The 20,221-nt window shown below is 43.6% G+C and overlaps 1 long non-coding RNA gene across 1 annotated transcript; it reads left to right on the top strand.

Annotated features, from left to right (window-relative positions):
- Positions 1-572: 572 nt before the first annotated feature.
- LOC105371973 (uncharacterized) lies at positions 573-20,092 on the top strand. The gene is made up of 4 exons (XR_935118.2): positions 573-656; positions 5,633-5,764; positions 11,923-12,045; positions 20,010-20,092. It is a non-coding gene; the product is annotated as an uncharacterized LOC105371973 (long non-coding RNA).
- Positions 20,093-20,221: the final 129 nt, after the last annotated feature.

Here is a 20,221-nt window from a genome sequence, read left to right as displayed (position 1 = left end):
TAATATTCTAAAATTGAACATCCACATTGCCAAATGTGACATTTGGTGACTCACTGTCAGCAAGGATATCAATTGACCAGCATTCCTCTTCAAGTGTGCCTACAGCTCATTGCAAGAGGGGGAAAATCAAATCAAATTAGTTCCTTTGTGGATATAACATTTTCACTTCAATAATAATTGAAGGCTTTCTGGGCAAGAGAAATATATCTTAAGGTAAAATCTCAAAAAAATTTAAGAATATCAAAGCATGTCAGTCATAATAGATATTTTTGTAACAATGATAACATTTTGACTTAGCAAAATTATATGGAGAGCCTACGGTACCTGACTTTGTGCTCCTCATCAGCAACATGGGGGAGAAAGAGTGGCTAAGATGTGGTCTTTCCTCCTCTGGGTACATTGTCAAAAACTGCCTCCTTCTGCAATCTCTCCATCCCATATTACTAACTATACCATTCACCCTGATTTATTTCTCCCCATAGCAGTAAATACTATCTGAAGTAATATATGATTGTTTACAAAGCAAAATAATGTAACACACCACTATTATGCATTTCTTCCTTATTGGTTTTCTTTCTCTCCTGGGAGAACACAAGGTCCATGAGAGAAGAGACTTTGTGTCATTTTGTGCTGAGTCCTCAGTGATGGGAAATAAGGTAAGTGTTCAATAATTATTCGTTGATGCCGGAATGATGATTGAACAAATCTATGTCAATACATATTTTAGTTTTTTTATACTGGGTAACTTTTTTATTTCGTATAAACCCAGATGTTTCTGATTTATGCAAAACAATTATTAAAATTTAGTAGGTACTTTAATTGTTATGCATAACACATTTATAAAAATGAAACATTTTGTAAGCCGTATATATCTTCCTAATTCATTCATTTCCTACCAAATTATGTGTCTCACATTATTAAACACATCCCTTGGGCAACCATCTTTTCCTTTGTAGTCATTGCAGTCATTTCACATTAAGATATATAAACTGCAGAAATATCATTAATTTGAAACAGGTCAGGTCCCGGACATTTATGGTAAGTGATCTACTGTGCAACCATTTACCGAGTGAATACTGTAAGCCAGGCAAGGGCCAGCACTTTGCATATGTTCAATTTTAACTGCATAAAAACTCTAAAAATAAATAATATCTGCATTTTGCAGATAAGAAAATGGAGACTTAGACCAGCTTAGTAATACACCTAAAATTTAACCTTGAATCAATGTTAGATCCTGGGTCAAACTTTTCTGAGTCCCATATCTAAGCTTTTCTATGAATATGATCATCCACATGGACACTTTTTTTATATAAAACAATAACAATAAAAAGTGTTGAAGTCTTTTCTCACATAAAAATAGAACACTGTTGTTTGTACAGACCATTAACATCGGCTTAGTCATAAAACTGACATTTTCTGCCATTGATTAGATATTTAAATAATTCATGACTGAGGCCTTCTTTAATTGGTAATTCAGGCAGGACAGGGCAGAGTAGATCACTATGAGTTCAGGGGTGCTGTGAACTCAGAAGTGTTATGAGTGCAGAGGTGCTATGACATCAGCAGTACAAAGAGATCAGGAATGCTGAATTTAGGGGTATCTTGAGCTCAGGGGTGCTATGTATTCAGGAGTGCTATGAGTTTAGGGGTACAATGAGTTTAGAAGTACCAGCTGAAGGGTGCTATGAGTCTAGGGGTGCTATGATTTTGGACAACTACGAGCTCCGTGATGTTATGAACTTAGGGATACTATGAGTTCAGGGGCACAATGAGTTCAAGGTGTTATGAGCTCATGTGAGGGCCACATTATAGCTTGTATGAACCCTAGGTATTTTTGCCTTTGTGTGACTTTCTCCATAGCAAGTATTAAAAATGATATTGTACAACTGTGTTGGTATAAAGATTAACAAAAAACAAGCTAGATTCACTCTTATATATTCATTATTATCCTATTCATTTCTCTTCTGATATTAAAATAAATTATAATTTAAACATTTTCATGGGCACTTAAAAGTATTGTGGGACCTGGGCCCTGTGCCTGCTGTCGGCCCCGATGCCTGGGGCTAGGCAGTGTGCCCGACACACGTGTATGCTCTCCACTTTCTCAATTTCAACTGCTAGAAAGTTACGCATTCAAATCATATGCCCATTAAGGTAAAATAGCATTAGAAGAATTGACCTTAGGTTAGTATTTTATATGCCATTTAAATTGACAAGAGCAGACATCCGTGTCTGTGTTCTCTGATGAAGGCAGGGATGCTGGGGAACACAGGCTGATCTTGGGGAGGGTCCTGCTGATCCAGCTCTTTGGGGAGACACTGCAGACCCCTCCCCTTCCCACAGTGGTACCTGGGACTTGCCTCGGCGATATCCTGCATTATCTGTCTGCACATCTGGCGCTTCCGCCATCTTCTGTGGTCGTTATGTTGTCTGTTTTCTCTACATATAACAACATACGTTCTTCTAAAAAACAGCATATTTTGGCCCACTTCCTTTCATTCTTTTTCCTAGCATCCATGCACACATGCGTGCACATGCGCACGTATTAACATCAGAACCGTGCTGTGCATATGGGTTAAGTTATGCACATTTCCCCTTGTCCTTAAAATGTACAGCTTTTATGGCTCTTCCCTAAGTCCGTGTTTTCAGTTTTCTGTTAACACACTAGACTTTACCTGCTTAAATATTTTCCAAAGATTTGGAAGTCATGTCCTATTTTAAGTCTAACAATAAGTTACTTTTTTTTATTTGAGATGGAGTCTCGCTCTGTTGCCCAGGCTGGAGTGCAGTGGTACAATCTCAGCTCACTGCAAACTCCGCCTCCCGGGTTCAAGTGATTCTCCTGTCTCAGCCTCCCTAGTAGCTGGGATTAGAGGCATGCACCACCATGCCCGGCTAATTTTTGTATTTTTAGTAGAGATGGAGTTTTGCCATGTTGGCCAGGCTGGCCTTGAACTCCTCAGGTGATCCGCCCCCCTCTGCCTCCCAAAGTGCTGGGAATACAGGCGTGAGCCACCTCACAGGGCCAATAAGTTACTTTTTTTTTTTTTTTTTTAAGACAGAGTCCCATTTGTTGTCCAGGCTGGAGTGCAGTGGCGCAATCTTGGCTCACTGCAGCCTCCAGCTCCCGGGTTCAAGCAATTCTCCCGCCTCAGCCTCCCGAGTAACTGGGACCACAGGTGCACAGGGCCATGCCCAGCTAATTTTTGTATTTTTAGTAGAGACAGGGTTTCACCATGTTGGCCAGGATGGTCTTGATCTCCTGACCTCATGATCTGCCCCCATCGGCTTCCCAAAGTGCTGGGATTACAGGCATGAACCACCTTGCCTGGCCATTAAGTTACTTTTAAGCTATAAGAACACTACCAGACATATGTTTCTCTAAGTACCAGAATAAAATCATGACATGGTAACCACTGTGCACCCCACATAAGATGGGGTTAGCATTGCTTTAATTCAACATCACCTCCCACATCCCAGACTTTATTAATAAAATCTGGAGTTTGAGACCAGTTTGTTCTTACTAAATTACCATTTTTCTATTAAATATAATTCCATATTAAATTTGAGATTGTCAGTACATTTTAAAACTAAATTTATAACAGAATAGGTTTTATGATATATTTAGTAGATTTCATTATTCACTATTAGTCCTTTTATATAAAAATTATCCATTTGTTAACAGTGGTTAATTGCTTAGTTGGCTCTAGGTCATCTAAAACAATTTTTACCAGAATAGCACATTCGTGCCTATTTCTTGAACCTTGCATATTCAAAAATATCTTTCTGTAGCCTTCACATGAAAAATAACTCAACTGGGCATATATTTTGGGCTTGCAACTATTTTCCTTCAAAACAGCAAATGTTCCTTCATCAGATTCTGGTATTTAATGATTCCCCGAGGCCGTCCTAATTTCTGAACTTCTGTAGGTAACCTATTTTTGCTGCCTGAATGCTTGTTGGGTTTTGAGTTTTCTTTTCTTTTTTTTTTTTGAGACGGAGTCTCTCTCTGTCCCCCAGGCTGGAGTGCAGTGGCGCGATCTCCGCTCACTGCAAGTTCCGCCTCTTGGGTTCAAGCCATTCTCCTGCCTCAGCCTCCCGAGTAGCTGGGACTACAGGCGCCCACCACTACGCCGTGCTAATTTTTTGTATTTTTAGTAGATACGGGGTTTCACCATGTTAGCCAGGATGGTCTCGATCTCCTGACCTCGTGATCCGCCTGCCTTGGCCTCCCAAAGGGCTGGGATTACAGGCGTGAGCCACCGCGCCCGGCCTGGGTCTTGTTTTCTTGATCCTCAGAATTCAAAAATATAACCACTTCTCGTGTCATTGATGTCTCATCCTGGTAACCTCCTTCTAATTGCACTCAGGTCGTTTTTTCAGCCTAGGCTCAGGAAAGGCCCAACCACCCCCATATCCACCTCACCCTCACCCTCCCACCATGATGTCTTTGGTGACCATTCCATCCATCTGTTCTACTTGACTTTCTTCCTGGGGAACAGCCCTAACTTCTTTCTGTCTCTGTTCCTCCTTTTATGCGTGTTCACTGTTCACCAGATGCCATATGTCATGCTGAATTCCCATATATATTTGTTGCTGTCCCAACTGTGGTACTCTGAGGAGATATTGTTATCCCTGCACTGCAGATGGAAGCCTTGCCCAGGTCCGCACATGTTGTAAGTGCTGGGGTTGAGCTTCAAGTCTGCGTGAGACACTGAATCTCATGCCCTTTCACCCCAATGCTGTATTTTCTTTTTTTCTGTCCATCCCACCATTTCCACGTGATTTCCTTTCCTCTCCATTCTCAGAGAGAGTCTCAGGTTTGTCTCCCTCACTAAGGATCAGATTTTCCAAGGTGTCATTTCTGATTTACCATCCCCACATGGATTAATTCAGCATTGAATTTCTCGTTTCCTTTAATACTTTCTTATTTTACTTATCTCGATTTTCTTTATCTGGGCTGCTTCCATATCAGTCTATTCTCCCTTTGACATTTTGTTCCATTTCAAAAAGGCAATTTGATTTTTTATCTAAGGATGATCATTGTTTCCTAAAATGTGTTTTAGGTTTTTTTTTTTTTTTTTTTTAGAAAAACATTGTTTCCAGTGAAATTTTAGCACGAGGCTGACTTTATCAGGACCATATGATTTTTTCAAAGACTACTCCTTTTTCTTGTTTCCTTGTCCAAGAAGGCAGAGCTCTACCCAGCACAAGAGAACAAGCACACTGTGTGTCCCCACCCCCACCCTTCCCAAGTGGCTGTCCCAGGAAGAGCTGGGGGACACACACAACTTTTCTGTCACTAGGAAGCCTACTGCTGGAATGTCTTTGCTAATCTATGAAGGGAGCTTTTCCTGTCTTTGCTGTCTGACCTTCTGACCCTTTGTAAAATTTGAGGATCTGAGAAATAACAACCTTGCAGCTGCCTAGACGCCAAGGCTCTTCCGGACTCTGTCCCCATTCATGGTGCTTTATTTGGGCCACTACACTACCCAGAACGAGCCTCCTCCAGAAGCTCCAGAATTATCTAGCTCAATCTAACAGCAGAAGTAGCTATCTGGGGAGGACGAATCTGACTGTGTCAAAAAGTAGCACCTAGAGAGTCGAGGCATGACATGTTCTGGTTTTACAGTTGATGAGGCTCTGACCCGGTGTGGAGCATGGAGAGGGATGGAAGCCAGTTGACCCATTCCTGAGGCCAGACCTGCATTGTCCACTGAGTGACATTAGCTCTACAGCTTGTGGAAGGTCTTCCCAAACTCTGGTAAGAGATTGGCTGTCAGTCCTAGTTTTAAGAGTTCCAAATATATTCTTTTCTTATAAATGGGCATTGAGGGAGACTGAATCAGGAGCTGCTAGCCAGGTGACCTTTTAAATTAGAAATCTTAGGCCAGGCGCAGTGGCTCATGTTTGTAATCACAGCACTTTGGAGGCCAAGGAGGGCGGATCACTGGAGGTCAGGAGTTCGAGACCAGCCTGGCCAAAATGGTGAAACCCTATCTCTACTAAAACTATAAAAAAAAATAGCAGGGCATGGTGGCACATGCCTGTAGTCCCAGCTACTTGGGAGGCTGAGACAGGAGAATCTCTTGAACCCAGAGGCAGAGGTTGCAGCAAGCCAAGATTACACCACTGCACTCTAGCCTGGGCAACAGAGCTAGACTCCATCTCAAAAAAAAAAAAAAAAGGCTGGGTGCCATGGCTCATGCCTGTAGTCCCAGCACTTTGGGAGGCTGAGGTGGGCAGATCATGAGGTCAGGAGTTTGAGACCAGCCTGGCCAACATGGTGAAACCCCGTCTCTACTAAAGATATAAAAAATTAGCCAGGCATGGTGGCACATGCCTGTATTCCCAGCTACTCGGGCGGCTGAGGCAGGAGAATCACTTGAATCCGGGAGGCGGAGGTTGCAGTGAGCCGAGATTGCAACATTGCACTCCAGCCTGGGTGACAGGGCAAGACTCCATTTCAAAAACAAAACAAAACAAAATTAGAAACCTTAGGCCAGGTGCGGTTGCTCATGCCTGTAATCCCAGCACTTTGGTAGGCAGAGGTGGGAGGATTGCTTGACCCCAGAAGTTCGAGGCCAGCTTGGGCAATCTGGTGAGACCCCGTCTCTACAAAAAACTTAAAAATTACCTGGGTGTGGTGGCACACACCTTTAGTCCAAGCTACTTGGGAGGCTGAGGCAGGAGGATTGCTTGAGCCCAGGAGTTAGAAGTTACAGTGAGCTATGATCATGCCACCACGTTCCATCCTGAGTGACAGAGTGAGACTCTTGTCTCTAAATTTAAAAAATAATAATAATAACAAAATAAAATAAAAAATAAATTAGAAACCCTCTGACATTTTCCTTCCTCCAACATAAAATATCACTGAATCACTGGATAACTTCAAGATAACATTGAAAGTTTTAACTATCTAATCAATAAATGGATAAAAGGGAATGATAATGATGTCCTCAATGTGCCTACTGCACTGTATGACTATTCAGTCTTAGCCTATCCATAGCTGGGACACCCACTTTGTAAAGCAAATCCAGGGACAACCTAATGTTGTGCTTCTCTTGTTCCTGGCCCTTCTCAAGATTCCAGGATGACCCATTCAAAACTCAGAAACCTCTGCTTAACAAGAAGACCCTCATCCTGGCACTACAGCACTAAAATCAAGCACTGTTCCAGAGACCACACCAAGCTCCCCTCTGAGGACCATGTTAAGTCTAGCGGGAACAGGGACCTGAAGATTCCCTATATCCCCCAGTGTAACTGGGTTCATTCAAGATATCTGAGTATTGGGTGGGGAGTGAGGTTATAGGAAGTAGCAGAACTCCTCACTGGATTTTTTATTTGAGTTAAATGCATTATTTCAACAACAATAACACCAAAACTTCTCAACTGCTGAGAGGACCAGTTGTGACAATGAGCTACTACTTAAAAATCTGCAAGGTTTTATTGTCAGTTTCAGCAGCTCTTATCAAACATTCTGGATACTTAAAACCAAATGATGAGGTCTGGCTGGCCTGGGCCTTCACTGCTGCCTGGCCACTGCTCCCCAGCATGAGGCTGGGGCTTCCCTGTGGTCCCCCATGTCTGCACTGTTGGAGAGTAGAGGACGGTCACCCCAGCTCTTTCATTTCTGTCTGCCAGGTGTGAGATGGCTCCTCTGAGTCACTGTCAGGACAGGCTCCTGCAAACCCTTCTACTGGACTGACCTGAAACCCTTAGGGCAGCCCAGCTCTCACGCATTGTGCCCTGGGGTCAAGGACTTGGATTCTTGACATGTTGGGCCTCAGACAGTTTCTGGGAAGAGCATGGCCTTTGGGAGCAATAAATCCTAGGTTAAAAATCCTAGCTCTGACATTTACTCATAGCTACCAAGTTACATGGTCATTCTCAGCCTCCGATTCCTCATGTATCAATTGGGGGAATGTGACAATTTAGTGAAGAAATAGATGCAAAGTGTGGAATTGCATCCCTCTCCGCCTGGCTGTTGACATAACTAGGACTACAAGTCTAGCCAAATGGCCAACTGGGTAGGACTATGATCACCCATATTCTTTCCCCTGCCCTGAAAATTTTCTGGCAGGAAAAAAACTATCAAACATGACTTCCAACACCAGCCCCCAATACTTCTTTCCATGTCTTTTATGATTAGGGAGGGTTGGGAGTTAATGAGCTGTTTGTGGGCCTTCAACAGAAATCATTCCCAAATAGCTTGGGAAGCAGGTTCCTGTTGGCATCTGTGAGTAACTCTGGGCGATAAAGAGCTTTTGAGGTGTCATGGGCTATGAACCTGGTACGAGTTCTTTCTGATCAGCCTGTTAGAGCAAAGCAAGTGTGCTTCCCCTCTTCCTGCCTCTCAGCCTCCCCTGCACAGACCAGGACAGAACAGCCACCAGGGAAGAACAGCCGCTGGCCCTGTGCCTGCAGGGAGACATGGCTCCTCTGAACCACTGTCAGGACCATGTCCTCTGGTCCTCTAGGAAATCATCCCCTTGAATCCAGAGATGAATATATTTACTGATATTATAAATATTTATATTTATTTACTGTTTTTTTCTGCTGATAATAGTACTATGTAACTAGATAGAAATATATCAAATTTCTCATTTTCCCTATGAGAATTTTTTCTTGATGGTTTTCTATTTATTTTTGAGATGTGGTTAAGAGAGAGCAAATACCAGAGGCGATATCAAGGGGAAGCCGTTAGAAGGATGAAGAATAGAGAGCAAGGTCTCTGGGGATCACAAGGTGGGGTGCAGGGCTGCAGCCAGAGGCAAGCGGTGGGGGCACAGCAGGAGATGAGGAGAAACAGCAGAGAAGGGTCTGCACTGTGGTGAACGCCTTTAACCCCAGCGCTTTGGGAAGCTGAGGCGGGAGGATCGCTTGAAGTCAGGAGTTCAAGGCTGCAATGAGTCTGGGTGACAGAGCGAGAACCCGTCTGAGAGAAACTGAAGCACAGCAGGCAAGGAAACAGCCACTCCCTGTGCTCAGGAGCCCTGTCCTCCACTCCCAGAGAAGCATGTGTTGTTCTGGGTGGTTGAACCAGGGGGAAAATGGGCAGTCTACGCATAACATATCAGAATTCTCCCACAATAAATACATATTACCAAATAACCTTTATTTTGTCTGGACCTTGAAACAAAACAAAACACAGATACACAAACAGAAAACCAGATGTCCAAGGGAATAACTACGTACATATGTACTCATTTTTACAGCTTTCTCAATTCCAGGGTGCCTGGAGGCTCCCAGCAGCCGCGAGGCAGGTGGATAGTTCACCGGCACCTGCCGTTCCAGAGGAGCTCTTTAAAACAGCTGTTTCGGGCACTTCTGTGAAGCAAGGGAATCGAGTTCTTGGCAGCTCCTTGTCCAGACAGTGACATTCCTGTGATACAGCCAGTAAAATCGGAAGCCTTTGACCTCTGGAGGCTGTGACAAAACCCTGCTTTCCTTGCAAATAACAGAGCTGATTATTTTCCAGCCTTTGATAGAGATTTGGCCACTGCCCAAACTTGTATAATTAGCATCCTCTACTTCTATCAACCAGAAACACCACAGACGGAGCTCTGGATCTACTACACAGGGAGAAGTATGCTATCTGGATCTGGCTAATTAGATAATTTTCATACTAAATGCATTGACGGATAACTTGAAAATTTACTTCAAGCTTGAAAGAATTGGGCGATGAACTGTTTGTGCAAGAGCAATCTCTATGGATTCTCTTTTGGCCTCCAGAGTTTCTTTTCTTTCTTTTTAAAAAATAGACAGAAATTTATTTGTTGCTCACAGTACTGGAGGCTAGGAAGTTCACCGTCAAGGTGCTGGCAGATTAGTGTCTGGTGTGGGACTCATAGATGGCACCTTGTTGCTGGGCCGGCACATGGCAGAGACGGGAAGGGAACTCCCTGGAGCCTCTTTTAGGAGGGCGCTAAGGCCATTCTGGAGAATGGAGCCCTCTGACTTCATCACTGCCCAAAGGCCTTATCTCTTAATACTGTCACATTGGGTATTAGGTTCCAACATGTGGATTTTGGGAAGACATTCAGACCACAGCAATATAAGACCACATCTAAGAAGTAACCATCAATTTCTTTTTTACTTAAAAAATTATAAAATTGATGTTGAATATTATATCAAAGCCCTTAGTATTTAAAGAGATGTTTGTGATTTTTTTCTTATGTAATAATAATAAATGTTTTAATACATATCCAGTGAACGTACCATCTTTGTAAAATTTATACGAAAACTTAGACATAGTGTATTTTTTTTGTTGTTGTTGTTTTGAGATGGAGTCTTGCTCTGTCACCCAGGCTGGAGTGCAGTGGCACGATCTCGGCTCACTGCAATCTCCACTTCCTGGGTTCAAGCAGTTCTCTGCCTCAGCCTCCCGAGTAGCTGGGATTACAGGCGCCCACCAGCATGCCTGGCTGATTTTTTTTTTTTTTTTTTTTTTTTGTATTTTTAGTAGAGACAGAGTTTCATCATCTTAGCCAGGCTGGTCTTGAACTCCTGTCCTCGTGATCCACCAGCCTTGGCCTCCCAAAGTGCTGAGATTACAGGCATAAGCCAACATGTCCGGCCGACATGGTGTATTTTTAAAAATTGCTACTAAGTTCTATTGGCTAACATTTGACTTAGGGTTTTTGCATTGATATTTATGGGTGAGATTTTTCTGCACAGTTGGGGTGTTTTATTTTTGTTAGATTTTAAATCAATGTTATACTGACTTCATAAAAGAATGTGAAAGCTCTGCTTCTTTTTTCCATGATCTTTTAACAATTTAAATAATGTTGATGTTATCATTTTAAGGCTAAGAGCAGAAATTAATGATTTGGGAGACAGAAAGTGGTAGAAATAAATCTGAGAGCTGTTTTTAAAGAAAAAAATTTCCAAAATTGTAGCTAACCAGTCAAGAATATTAAAAAAGCACACGTACACATAAAAAAATTTTAATGAGAAAACTGCAGATACAGAGAAACTTTACAGAACCATGAGACTAGCTTGGTCAACTCTACATAGATAAATTTGTAACTTCGGTAAAATAAATAACTTTCAAGGAAAATGTGTTACATAGACTCGTTAACTTTGGATAAAAAAATTGGCCGGGCACAGTGGCTCACGCCTGTAATCCCAGCAATTGGGAGGCCGAGGTGGGCGGATCACCTGAGGTCAGGAGTTCAAGACCAGCCTGGCCAACATGGTGAAACCCTGCTTCTACTAAAAATACAAAAATTGCCCGGGCATGGTGGCTTATGCCTGTAATCCCAGCTACCCAGGAGGCTGAGGCAGGAAAATCACTTGAACCCAGGAAGTGGAGGTTGCAGTGAGCTGAGATCGTGCCACTGCACTCCAGCCTGGGCAATGACAAAAAAAGCGAGACTCTGTCTCAAAAAAAAAAAAAAAAAAAAATCGAATAAGACAAATTTCCATTTAAAAGATGAAGAAAGCAGCCATACATAAATATATACTCGTTTCCCAGGTAAATTCTTCCAGGTTTTTCTTGGTAACTGAGAGACCTATGTGGGCCATTCAGAGCAGGGGTTGGGGAGGGCAGGGCAGAAGAATCCCATAGAGATTGGCAGTGACAGCAGCAATGTTGGTCCATGTCACACAGTCAGCCTGGTCTGTGGGTGAATTTGCAGTTCTGTGAAAGAGTGAGTGTGCAATTGTACAGCCAGAGAAGGAGACCGCTGGGACACTGTGACAATTGTCTTTGTCCTCGTTGAAGGTGGTGCTGTTTAATTATAGAATGAAAATAATCCAGAAATAGATACCAACTGCTTAATACATAAATTAGTAACCGTGCCATGAGTGGATAATGTGAGCAGTTTGGTCTTGAAATAACAGCTCTATTTTGTGTAAGCCTGAGAATTCTGAAGAAAGGCTTTCTATTTCCCTTTTTCTTTTATTGCCGTTAAATAGAAACCTGAAAGTTAACAAAGCCTCAGCTGATACCAGTCAGCTTTGTGAACAAGCAAACCAACCACCGGCTGGGAAGCATCTATTGTATGGCTCCTCAATTCACAGCGGAAACCAAATTACAAGGTGAGAGATAAGCAGAGACACGTTTCCCGGATCCTCAACCCAAGAAGGGAGCACATAGGAGGCTCGGGCAGATTCTGTCCGTGGAATGGGGTTGTGGGGGGAGAGAAACAGACAAAGAGAGAGAGAATTTGTATTTTCCTAGGTATCCATAAATCCATTATTCATTAATTAGAGGTAAACATGCCTTGTTGAGGGGTAAATCCCACCACCCAGAAGGAGCAGGATAGAGGGACCCCATTCCCTGACTCTCTAAGTCCCATGGTTTAGACAGCAGCCTTCCAGAGTGTTCAGCCATTCAGCTGTCTCATCAGGGAGTGCTTTAGATTAACAAATGTGAACATTCTAACATTACTGGAGGGATTATTACATCGTGTTAAATATTTCATTTATCTGACATCACCCTACTGACTCACTGCTATAATTTATTAAATCAGCCTCCAGGTAAAACTATTGGATAGTTTTGCATAGTGAGGCTCGACTTTCAGGTCCTCTTCCCCTATACCTGTAAATGTGCTCCTTCCCTTTCTGCTTCTATCTGGTTCCATTTCCCGTAAGTGACATGGGGAGGTGGTGGGTCCCAGGCCACGTGAGTGGTGTAGGTGGACAGGGTGAGAGGTAACTGGGGAAGAGAGGCAAAGGCAGGTGGGGTTCAGCACAGCTGGTGTCCATGGGCTTCTGGTCAGTCTGGTGGTCATCAGGGCTCAGGCGATCAGCATGGACGTAAGGGGCTGCCTGCACGTCTAGTTGCCTGAGGCTGGAGCAGGCAGAGAATGGACAACTTCCAACCTTGGACTAGTTGGAATGCTCCCATCAGAAGTCAGCTCAGGCTGAGAAACAAAGCAAGATCTCATCTCTACAAAAAAAGTTATTAAAAAAAAATTAGCCAGGCATGTTGGTGCACACCTAGAGTCCCAAGCTATTCTTGAGGCTGAGGCAAGAGGATGAGGCAGGGACATTGCTTGAGCCCAGGAGTTTGAGGCTGCAGTGAGCTGTGAGTGCACCACTGTACTCCAGCCCAGGTGACAGAGAGAGACCCTGTCTCTAAAAATAAAGAAAGAAGAGGAGAGGAGAGGAGAGGGAAAAGAAAAGGAGAGAAGAGAAGAGAAAAGAAAAGCAGTCATCAACAAGTGTTGTTACATTAAAAGCTTCCTGGTGGGACAGCAACACGCCTTTGCCTCGGTCTTCCCACGCATTGATTCGTGCTATAACTAAGTACTTTATCCTTTCATTTGATGAGTATTTATAGAAAAACTACTCTGTGCCAGGTATTTCAGAGGCATTGAGACCAAAGTTGGTCCCAGATATCAGGGACTTACACAGTCAAGTGGAGTAACTGCCATTTACCTTGCGCTGGGTGCATTAGAGAGATCATTTTCAATCCTTCCTGCAACTCTGCCATGATAAGTATTATAATCACCATGTTATAGAGGAGATGTTAAGTACCTTTTGTGAGTTTGCACTGCCAGGAAGTGACTGGCCTAGCATTTGGATTTACATCTTTGTGACGGCAGAGCCTGTGCTTTTTGTTGTAGAAAGAGATCCTTGGCCAGGCGAGGTGGCTCACGCCTGTAATCCCAGTACTTTGGGAGGCTGAGGCAGGCGGATCAAGAGGTCAGGATATGGAGACCTTCCTGGCCAACATGGTGAAACCCCATCTCTACTGAAAATACAAAAATTAGCTGGGCTTGGTGGCACATGCCTGTAATCCCAGTTACTCGGGAGGCTGAGGCAGGAGAATCACTGGAACCAGGGAGTCGGAGGTTGCGGTGAGCCGAGATCTTGCCACTGCACTCCAGCCTGGCAACAGAACAAGATTCTGTCTCAAAAAAAAAAAAAAAGATCCTGCTCACCCTAAATAAAGCTCAGTGACTGTTATCTTTCACTGGGCTCTCCAAAACCAAACAGTAGTGTACAGCCATCTAGGACTTCTCACTGAAGGAGTTTAAAAACGACACTTCATCTTTTTGCTCATTGAGGTCTAAGGGGAAGCGCTCAGCTTTTCTCCAGGATTACCGATATCTCTGGCCTTGGGTTATTTCATTGGAATCCTCTTCCACAATGTTCAACAACCACTACGTCTCTGCCCACCTGGAAACTGGGTCTGTTTGTTCTGGGAGGCTCTCTTCCAGGCTTTAATGGACAGATAAGCATGGTTATGGACCAAAATATTTCAGATCAATTGGCCATTTTAGTAACTTGAATGAAAGCCCCCATCTGTGAGAGTTAAGACAGGCATGCCCAGGCATTTGCATGGGACCTGAGCTGTGTGCACTGTCTGAGACAGGCCTGCAGAGATCTGAGCTCATGTGAAACTTACTGAAGTGCATTTTTTTTTTTGAGACGGAGTCTCGCTCTGTCGCCCAGGCTGGTGTGCAGTGGCGCGATCTCGGCTCACTGCAAGCTCCGTCTCCCAGGTTCACGCCATTCTCCTGCCTCAGCCTCCCGAGTAGCTGGGACTACAGGCGCCCGCCACCATGCCCGACTAAGTTTGTTTTTGTATTTTTAGTAGAGACGGGGTTTCACCGTGTTAGCCAGGATGGTCTCGATCTCCTGACCTCGTGATCTGCCTGCCTCGGCCTCCCAAAGTGCTGGGATTACAGGAGTGAGCCACCGCGCCCAGCCATACTGAAGCATTTTTATTTGTAAAATACAATGATCCTTTCAATCCCAGTCCTGATTTCATCATACTCCCCTTTCTGTTGCATGGAGCTCAGACAGCCTATAGCAGCATTTGAGTGATGGCCATGTCGTTTCTGCGTGGCACTAGTCCATTAAACTTAAACACTTTAGCACCCCTCACTGAGTGGCACTGTTTCTTCAGTTACTACTCCCTGATGGTTTTCAGACTGGATTCTTTTTAATTAGATCCACCAGGATAGATTATGCTGAGAAAGATAGTGTATCTTCCAAGTAGTTAACTGATCTTCAATGACCTCAGAATAGAAAGAGAGAGAAATAATGCTATTCTGTGACTCACATCTCAAAAGAAGAATCATAACCTTCTAATTAAATAAATCTATCTGGAACAATGCTTTCTCAACTATTTAAAAATAGGAAGCATATCCAAATCTGGGCAAAAGTCGGCATAACAAAATATGATTGGTGGCTGCTTCTGGATAGTAGAAATTAGTGGTGATATTAACTTTATTCTTGATACTTTTCCATTTCACTCCATGTCTGTAATAAGCATGTAATATTATCACAGTCACTACAAACACAGTAAACATTTTGTTAACTCTTAGTTTATAACGTGTTATCCAAAAAAGGCATATTTAAACTGTATTCGTGTTATGCACACATGAAGTCTCTTGAAGCTAGAGATTTAAGTTGACTTTTCAAGAAAGTCTCAGTTTTAGGCTTTTGTCTCTATCACCATGGCAAAACCTGAGCGGTGATCCTACTTAAAACTACAAATTCTGTGCTGGGCACAGTGGCTCATGCCTGTAATCCCAGCACTTTGGGATGCTAAGGCAGGTGGATCACGAGGTCAGGAGATAGAGGTCATCCTGGCTAACACGGTGAAACCCCATCTCTACTAAAAATACAAAAACAAAATTAGCCGGGCATGGTGGTGGGAGCCTGTAGTCCCAGCTACTCGGGAGGCTGAGGCCGGAGAATGGCATGAACCCAGGAGGCAGAGCTTGTAGTGAGCCGAGATCACGCCACTGCACTCTAGCCTGGGCAACAGAGCAAGACTCCATTAAAAAAAAAAAAAAGCCTAAAAATTCTGGGTCTCTTTTCTTTTCTTTTCTTTTCTTTTTGGAGACAGAGACTTGCTCTATCACCCAGGCTGGAGTGCAGTGGCATGATCTCCACTCACTGCAGCCTCTGCCTCCTGGGTTCAAGTGATTCTCCTGCCTCCACCTCCTGAGTAGCTGGGGTTACAGGCACCCACTACCACGCCCGGATAATTTTTTCATATTTTTGGTAGAGACAGAGTTTCATCATGTTGTCCAGGATGGTCTCAAACTCCTGACCTCAAGTGATCTGCCCTTCTCGGCTTTCAAAGTGCTGAAATTACAGGCATGAGCCACCGCGCACAGCCCTGGGTATCATTTTTGTTTTTTGTTTTTTGTTTTTGTTGAGACAGTCTTGCTCTGTCACCCAGGCTGGAGTGCAGTGGCGTGATCTTGGCTCACCACAACCTCTGCTTCCTGGGTTCAAGCGATTCTCCTGCCTCAGCCTCCTGAGTAACTGTGATTACTTGCCCAGCTAATTTTTGTATTTTTAGCAGAGACGGAGTTTCACCATGTTGGCCAAGCTGGCCTCAAACGCTTGACCTCGGATGATCCATCTGCCTCGGCCTCCCAAAGTGCTGGGATTCCAGGCGTGAGCCACTGTGTCTGGCCAAATATTTTTTAAAATTGTTTTAGATGCAACAGTGACCTGGCAAGTGGCAATTCAGAGGGGGAAGGAAGCAGGCATTTTCCAAAGCAAAGCATTTGCTAACTTAGATGAACGTGAACTTAGTTTCCATAGCTTTTTAGAGCATGAGGGAAAAGAGACAGAGCCTGAGTCGACCCCAGGTGAGAAGTCTGCCCCCATGCCTTGCAAAGAAAGCTCAACTCCATCCAAATGGCTAATCCTCAGAGTAAGGGGGAACTGGAAACAAACCCACATTCCTACCCCCAAGATAGCTAGAGAAACATCCTGTTTTCAAGATTGGGTATAAGCAAAGAAAAAAAACTCCACCTAGAATTCATAACACCATACTAGGCCTTAAGCAGGTATGAGCCCAAATTCACATCACAAGGGTCCTCGAAAGCTGTAATCCTATAAACTAGCTTAAAGAAGTCACACATAGGTGAGACCCCCAAGAGCCAACACAGGAAAATGCAAATCCTTTCTGGAGGGAGGAATTCCGTCCCCACTCCAACCTGGGTTTCAAGGGATTCCTTCAGATAAAAGCTCCACAGTCAAAATTCACAAAATTTACAAGGAAACAAGGCCTTCGAGCAAGACTCAACTGAACCAAAAATTAGCAGAACTGGAATAAGATATTATATATTGAAGTTATCAAACAATAAATATTTAAATATTTTAAATAAAATAGATAAAGGATTGAAAATAGTAATGAGGAAAAGATTAGAAAGAGATCTAGCAGATTGGAATAAGAGCCAAGAAGAATTTCTAAAAATTACAAATATAACAATGCAAATAAAAAATTGAATGAATGTTGTTCAACTGATCAAGACTTAGCTGAAGAGAAATTAGTGAACTGGAAGGTAGACCTGATGAAATTTTCCAGAATTTAGCCTACAGCAAAGAAACTGATGAAAAATAAGAAAAAGAGGTTAAGACCTAAGATACAGTGAGAAAAATCTAATAAACACTGAATGGAATTGCAGAGAGTGCAGAATAGGGAGAGGCACTCATGTCACCGTGCCTCTCCCTCTTCTGCAATTTCCCTATTCTGAAATTTCCAGAACTGACAAAAAAAAAATAAATCCATAGATTCAAGAAGTGAGTGACTCTCAACCAAGCCTGATAAATAAAACACTAACAAACAACATAATGAAAGTGAAGAACACAGCCTGGGCAACGTGGCAAAAGCCCGTCTCTACTAAAAATACAAAAAATTAGCCAGGTGTGGGCCAGGCGCGGTGGCTCACGCCTGTAATCCCTGCAATTTGGGAGGCCAAGGTGGGCGGATCACGAGGTCAGGAGATTGAGACCATCCTGGCCAACATGGTGAAATCCTGTCTCTACTAAAAATACCAAAATTAGCCGGGTGTGTTGGCACATGCCTGTAATCCAAGCTACTCGGGAGGCTGAGGCAGGAGAATCACTTAAACCCGGGAGCTGGAGGTTGCAGTGAGCCGAGATTGAGCCATGGCACTCCAGCCTAGGTGACAGAGCAAGACTCCGTCTCAAAAAAAAAAAAAAAAAGAAAAAAGAAAAAAGAAATTAGCCGGGTGTGGTGGTGTGTGCCTGTAATCTCAGCTATTCAGAAAGCTGAGAGGTATGAGAATCGCTTGAACCCAGGAGGCGGAGGCTGCAGTGAGCAGAGATCGTGCCATTGCACTCCAGCCTGGGAGACAGAATGAGACTCTGTCTCAAAAGAAAAGAAAGAAAAGAAAAGAAAAAAACAAAAAAGAAAGTGAAGAACAACATGGACAAGGGGAAACAGTCATGAAGTCGGTCACAGGTAAATGATACCTAAAAGAACTGCAATTAACTGGCAGGGGACCTTTCAAAAACAGCAATGGCAGACATCATACAGTAGGCACAGATTTTAATGTGCTGAATGAAAATAATAATCAGCCTATACCTGATTAAAATATCATTCAATAAGAACAAAACAAAGATATCTTTGATAAATCAAAACTAATAGTATTTTCCAATAACCACTAACATACTTCAAACCAACAAAATTCAAAAGGAAGCATAGCAGTTAAAGAAGAAATATGGGCCGGGTGCGGTGGCTCACGCCTGTAATCCCAATGCTTTGGGAGGCCGAGGAGGGCGGATCAAGAGGTCAGGAGATCGAGACCATCCTGGCTAACACGGTGAAGCCCCGTCTCTACTAAAAATATAAAAAATTAGCCGGGCGTAGTGGTGGGCACCTGTAGTCCCAGCTACTCAGGAGACTGAGACAGGAGAATGGCGTGAACCCAGGAGGCAAAGCTTGCAGTGAGCCAAGATGGCGCCACTGCACTCCAGCCTGGGCGACAGAGCGAGACTCCGTCTCAAAAAAAAAAAAAAAAAAAAAAAGAACACATCTCAGAATCAGTGATAGAGTCCAAGAGTTGGCACACTTTTTCTGAGAAGAGCCAGAAGGTGAATATTTTAGGTGCTGCAGGCCACTGAGGTCTCTGTTGCAACCTCTCAGCTTTGTTGTGGTGTGAAAGCAGCCAACACAAACTGTGAATGAGTGGGTGAGTGGCTGTGTTCCAATAAAACTTTATTTACACTGGGCAGTGAGCTGGATTGAATCTGCAGGCTGTTGTTTTCTGGCCCTGATAAGAGTTTAAAAGACACAATAAGAGGAGTTGCTTCACCTCTCACCTAACAATATTAATTCCAGCTTTTAAACAGACGTGGAAAATCCCTCTTGCAATGTGGTCTCTGTGGCAACTGACCCTGCGGACCATGTGTGAGGAGCTATTTCAGACAGCAGTGGAGCTGAGCCAGGCAATTCACACATCACCACATGACATCCAGGACACTACAAAGGCACTGTCACTGAAAGGCATGAAAGGATCTGGCCACTCAATTAGGCACCATCTTTTGACAAGCATTCCTTAGTCACATCCCTACAACTGGGCTTGGGAGATGCTGGAATGTCAGTCCCCAAGACCATAGAAAGCCCACTGGGTAATGTCCCAGTACAGTAGAGGGATTAGCCTTGTCTAAATATATTAATAAACACAGTAGAGAGCAGACAGGTGGCTCTACCTCATGACTCTTTAAATTGGAGACACAGAAAGAGCAGAAGAGGAGAGTGACATTAAGCCCCAGTAGCCAGTTAACGAGGAATGCCAGAGTTTGCAGCTTGCAGAGATGCCTGTTCCCAGAACCTCATCTCAGAAAGGGCTGAGGGGACCCCATGGAGAGTCCTAGAGTCCGAGAGGGAAGGGGTTGACATGGACCTCTCCAGGAAATGTGTCACGCAGAAGAGTGAAATAACTTCAGGGGAATCTGAATGGCAGCCAGAGTGAGAAATAGAAACAGGGAACCCTAGGGAAGAAACCCTAACAAACACAGGAGACTTATAGGAAAAGTGATGAATACCAGGCCTGGAGGAAAAAGGCCTTGGGCTTGAGAGGATGCTGCTGATGAATGAGACTGTTCAGAGCTGGTAGAGCTCTTGGACTTCTCTTGTGTCCCTGCTATTTCCAGTGAGGGGCAAATGGGAATAGAGTGCATGGATTCACGCCTCTTACAGGGTTTCCTGGGGCATGGAAGTCTCTATAGGATGAGATAAACTTTGCCCTACATTAATTTTTTTCCTTTTCATTTAGAATACATGGTGCAAAAAGCATTCTCCATGTCAGCAGCCAAAACAACTCATCTGGGACTTGCAAGTTCCAGCTGCCACGCTCGGCATTTTGATCCAGTGTTCCGGCTAAAGCTTGAAATGACAGAGCTGCTGCCATATGTGAAATCTGCCTTCGCTCTGTTTACTGTTTCATTTCATCCTTGATTTGCTGTCACTTTTAGGGGTATTGAACAC

The sequence above is a fragment of the Homo sapiens genome, chromosome 18 (assembly GCF_000001405.40).
Source record: "Homo sapiens chromosome 18, GRCh38.p14 Primary Assembly".
NCBI classification, from domain to species: Eukaryota; Metazoa; Chordata; class Mammalia; order Primates; family Hominidae; genus Homo; species Homo sapiens.
This window is presented reverse-complemented; position numbering and strand designations above follow the sequence as displayed.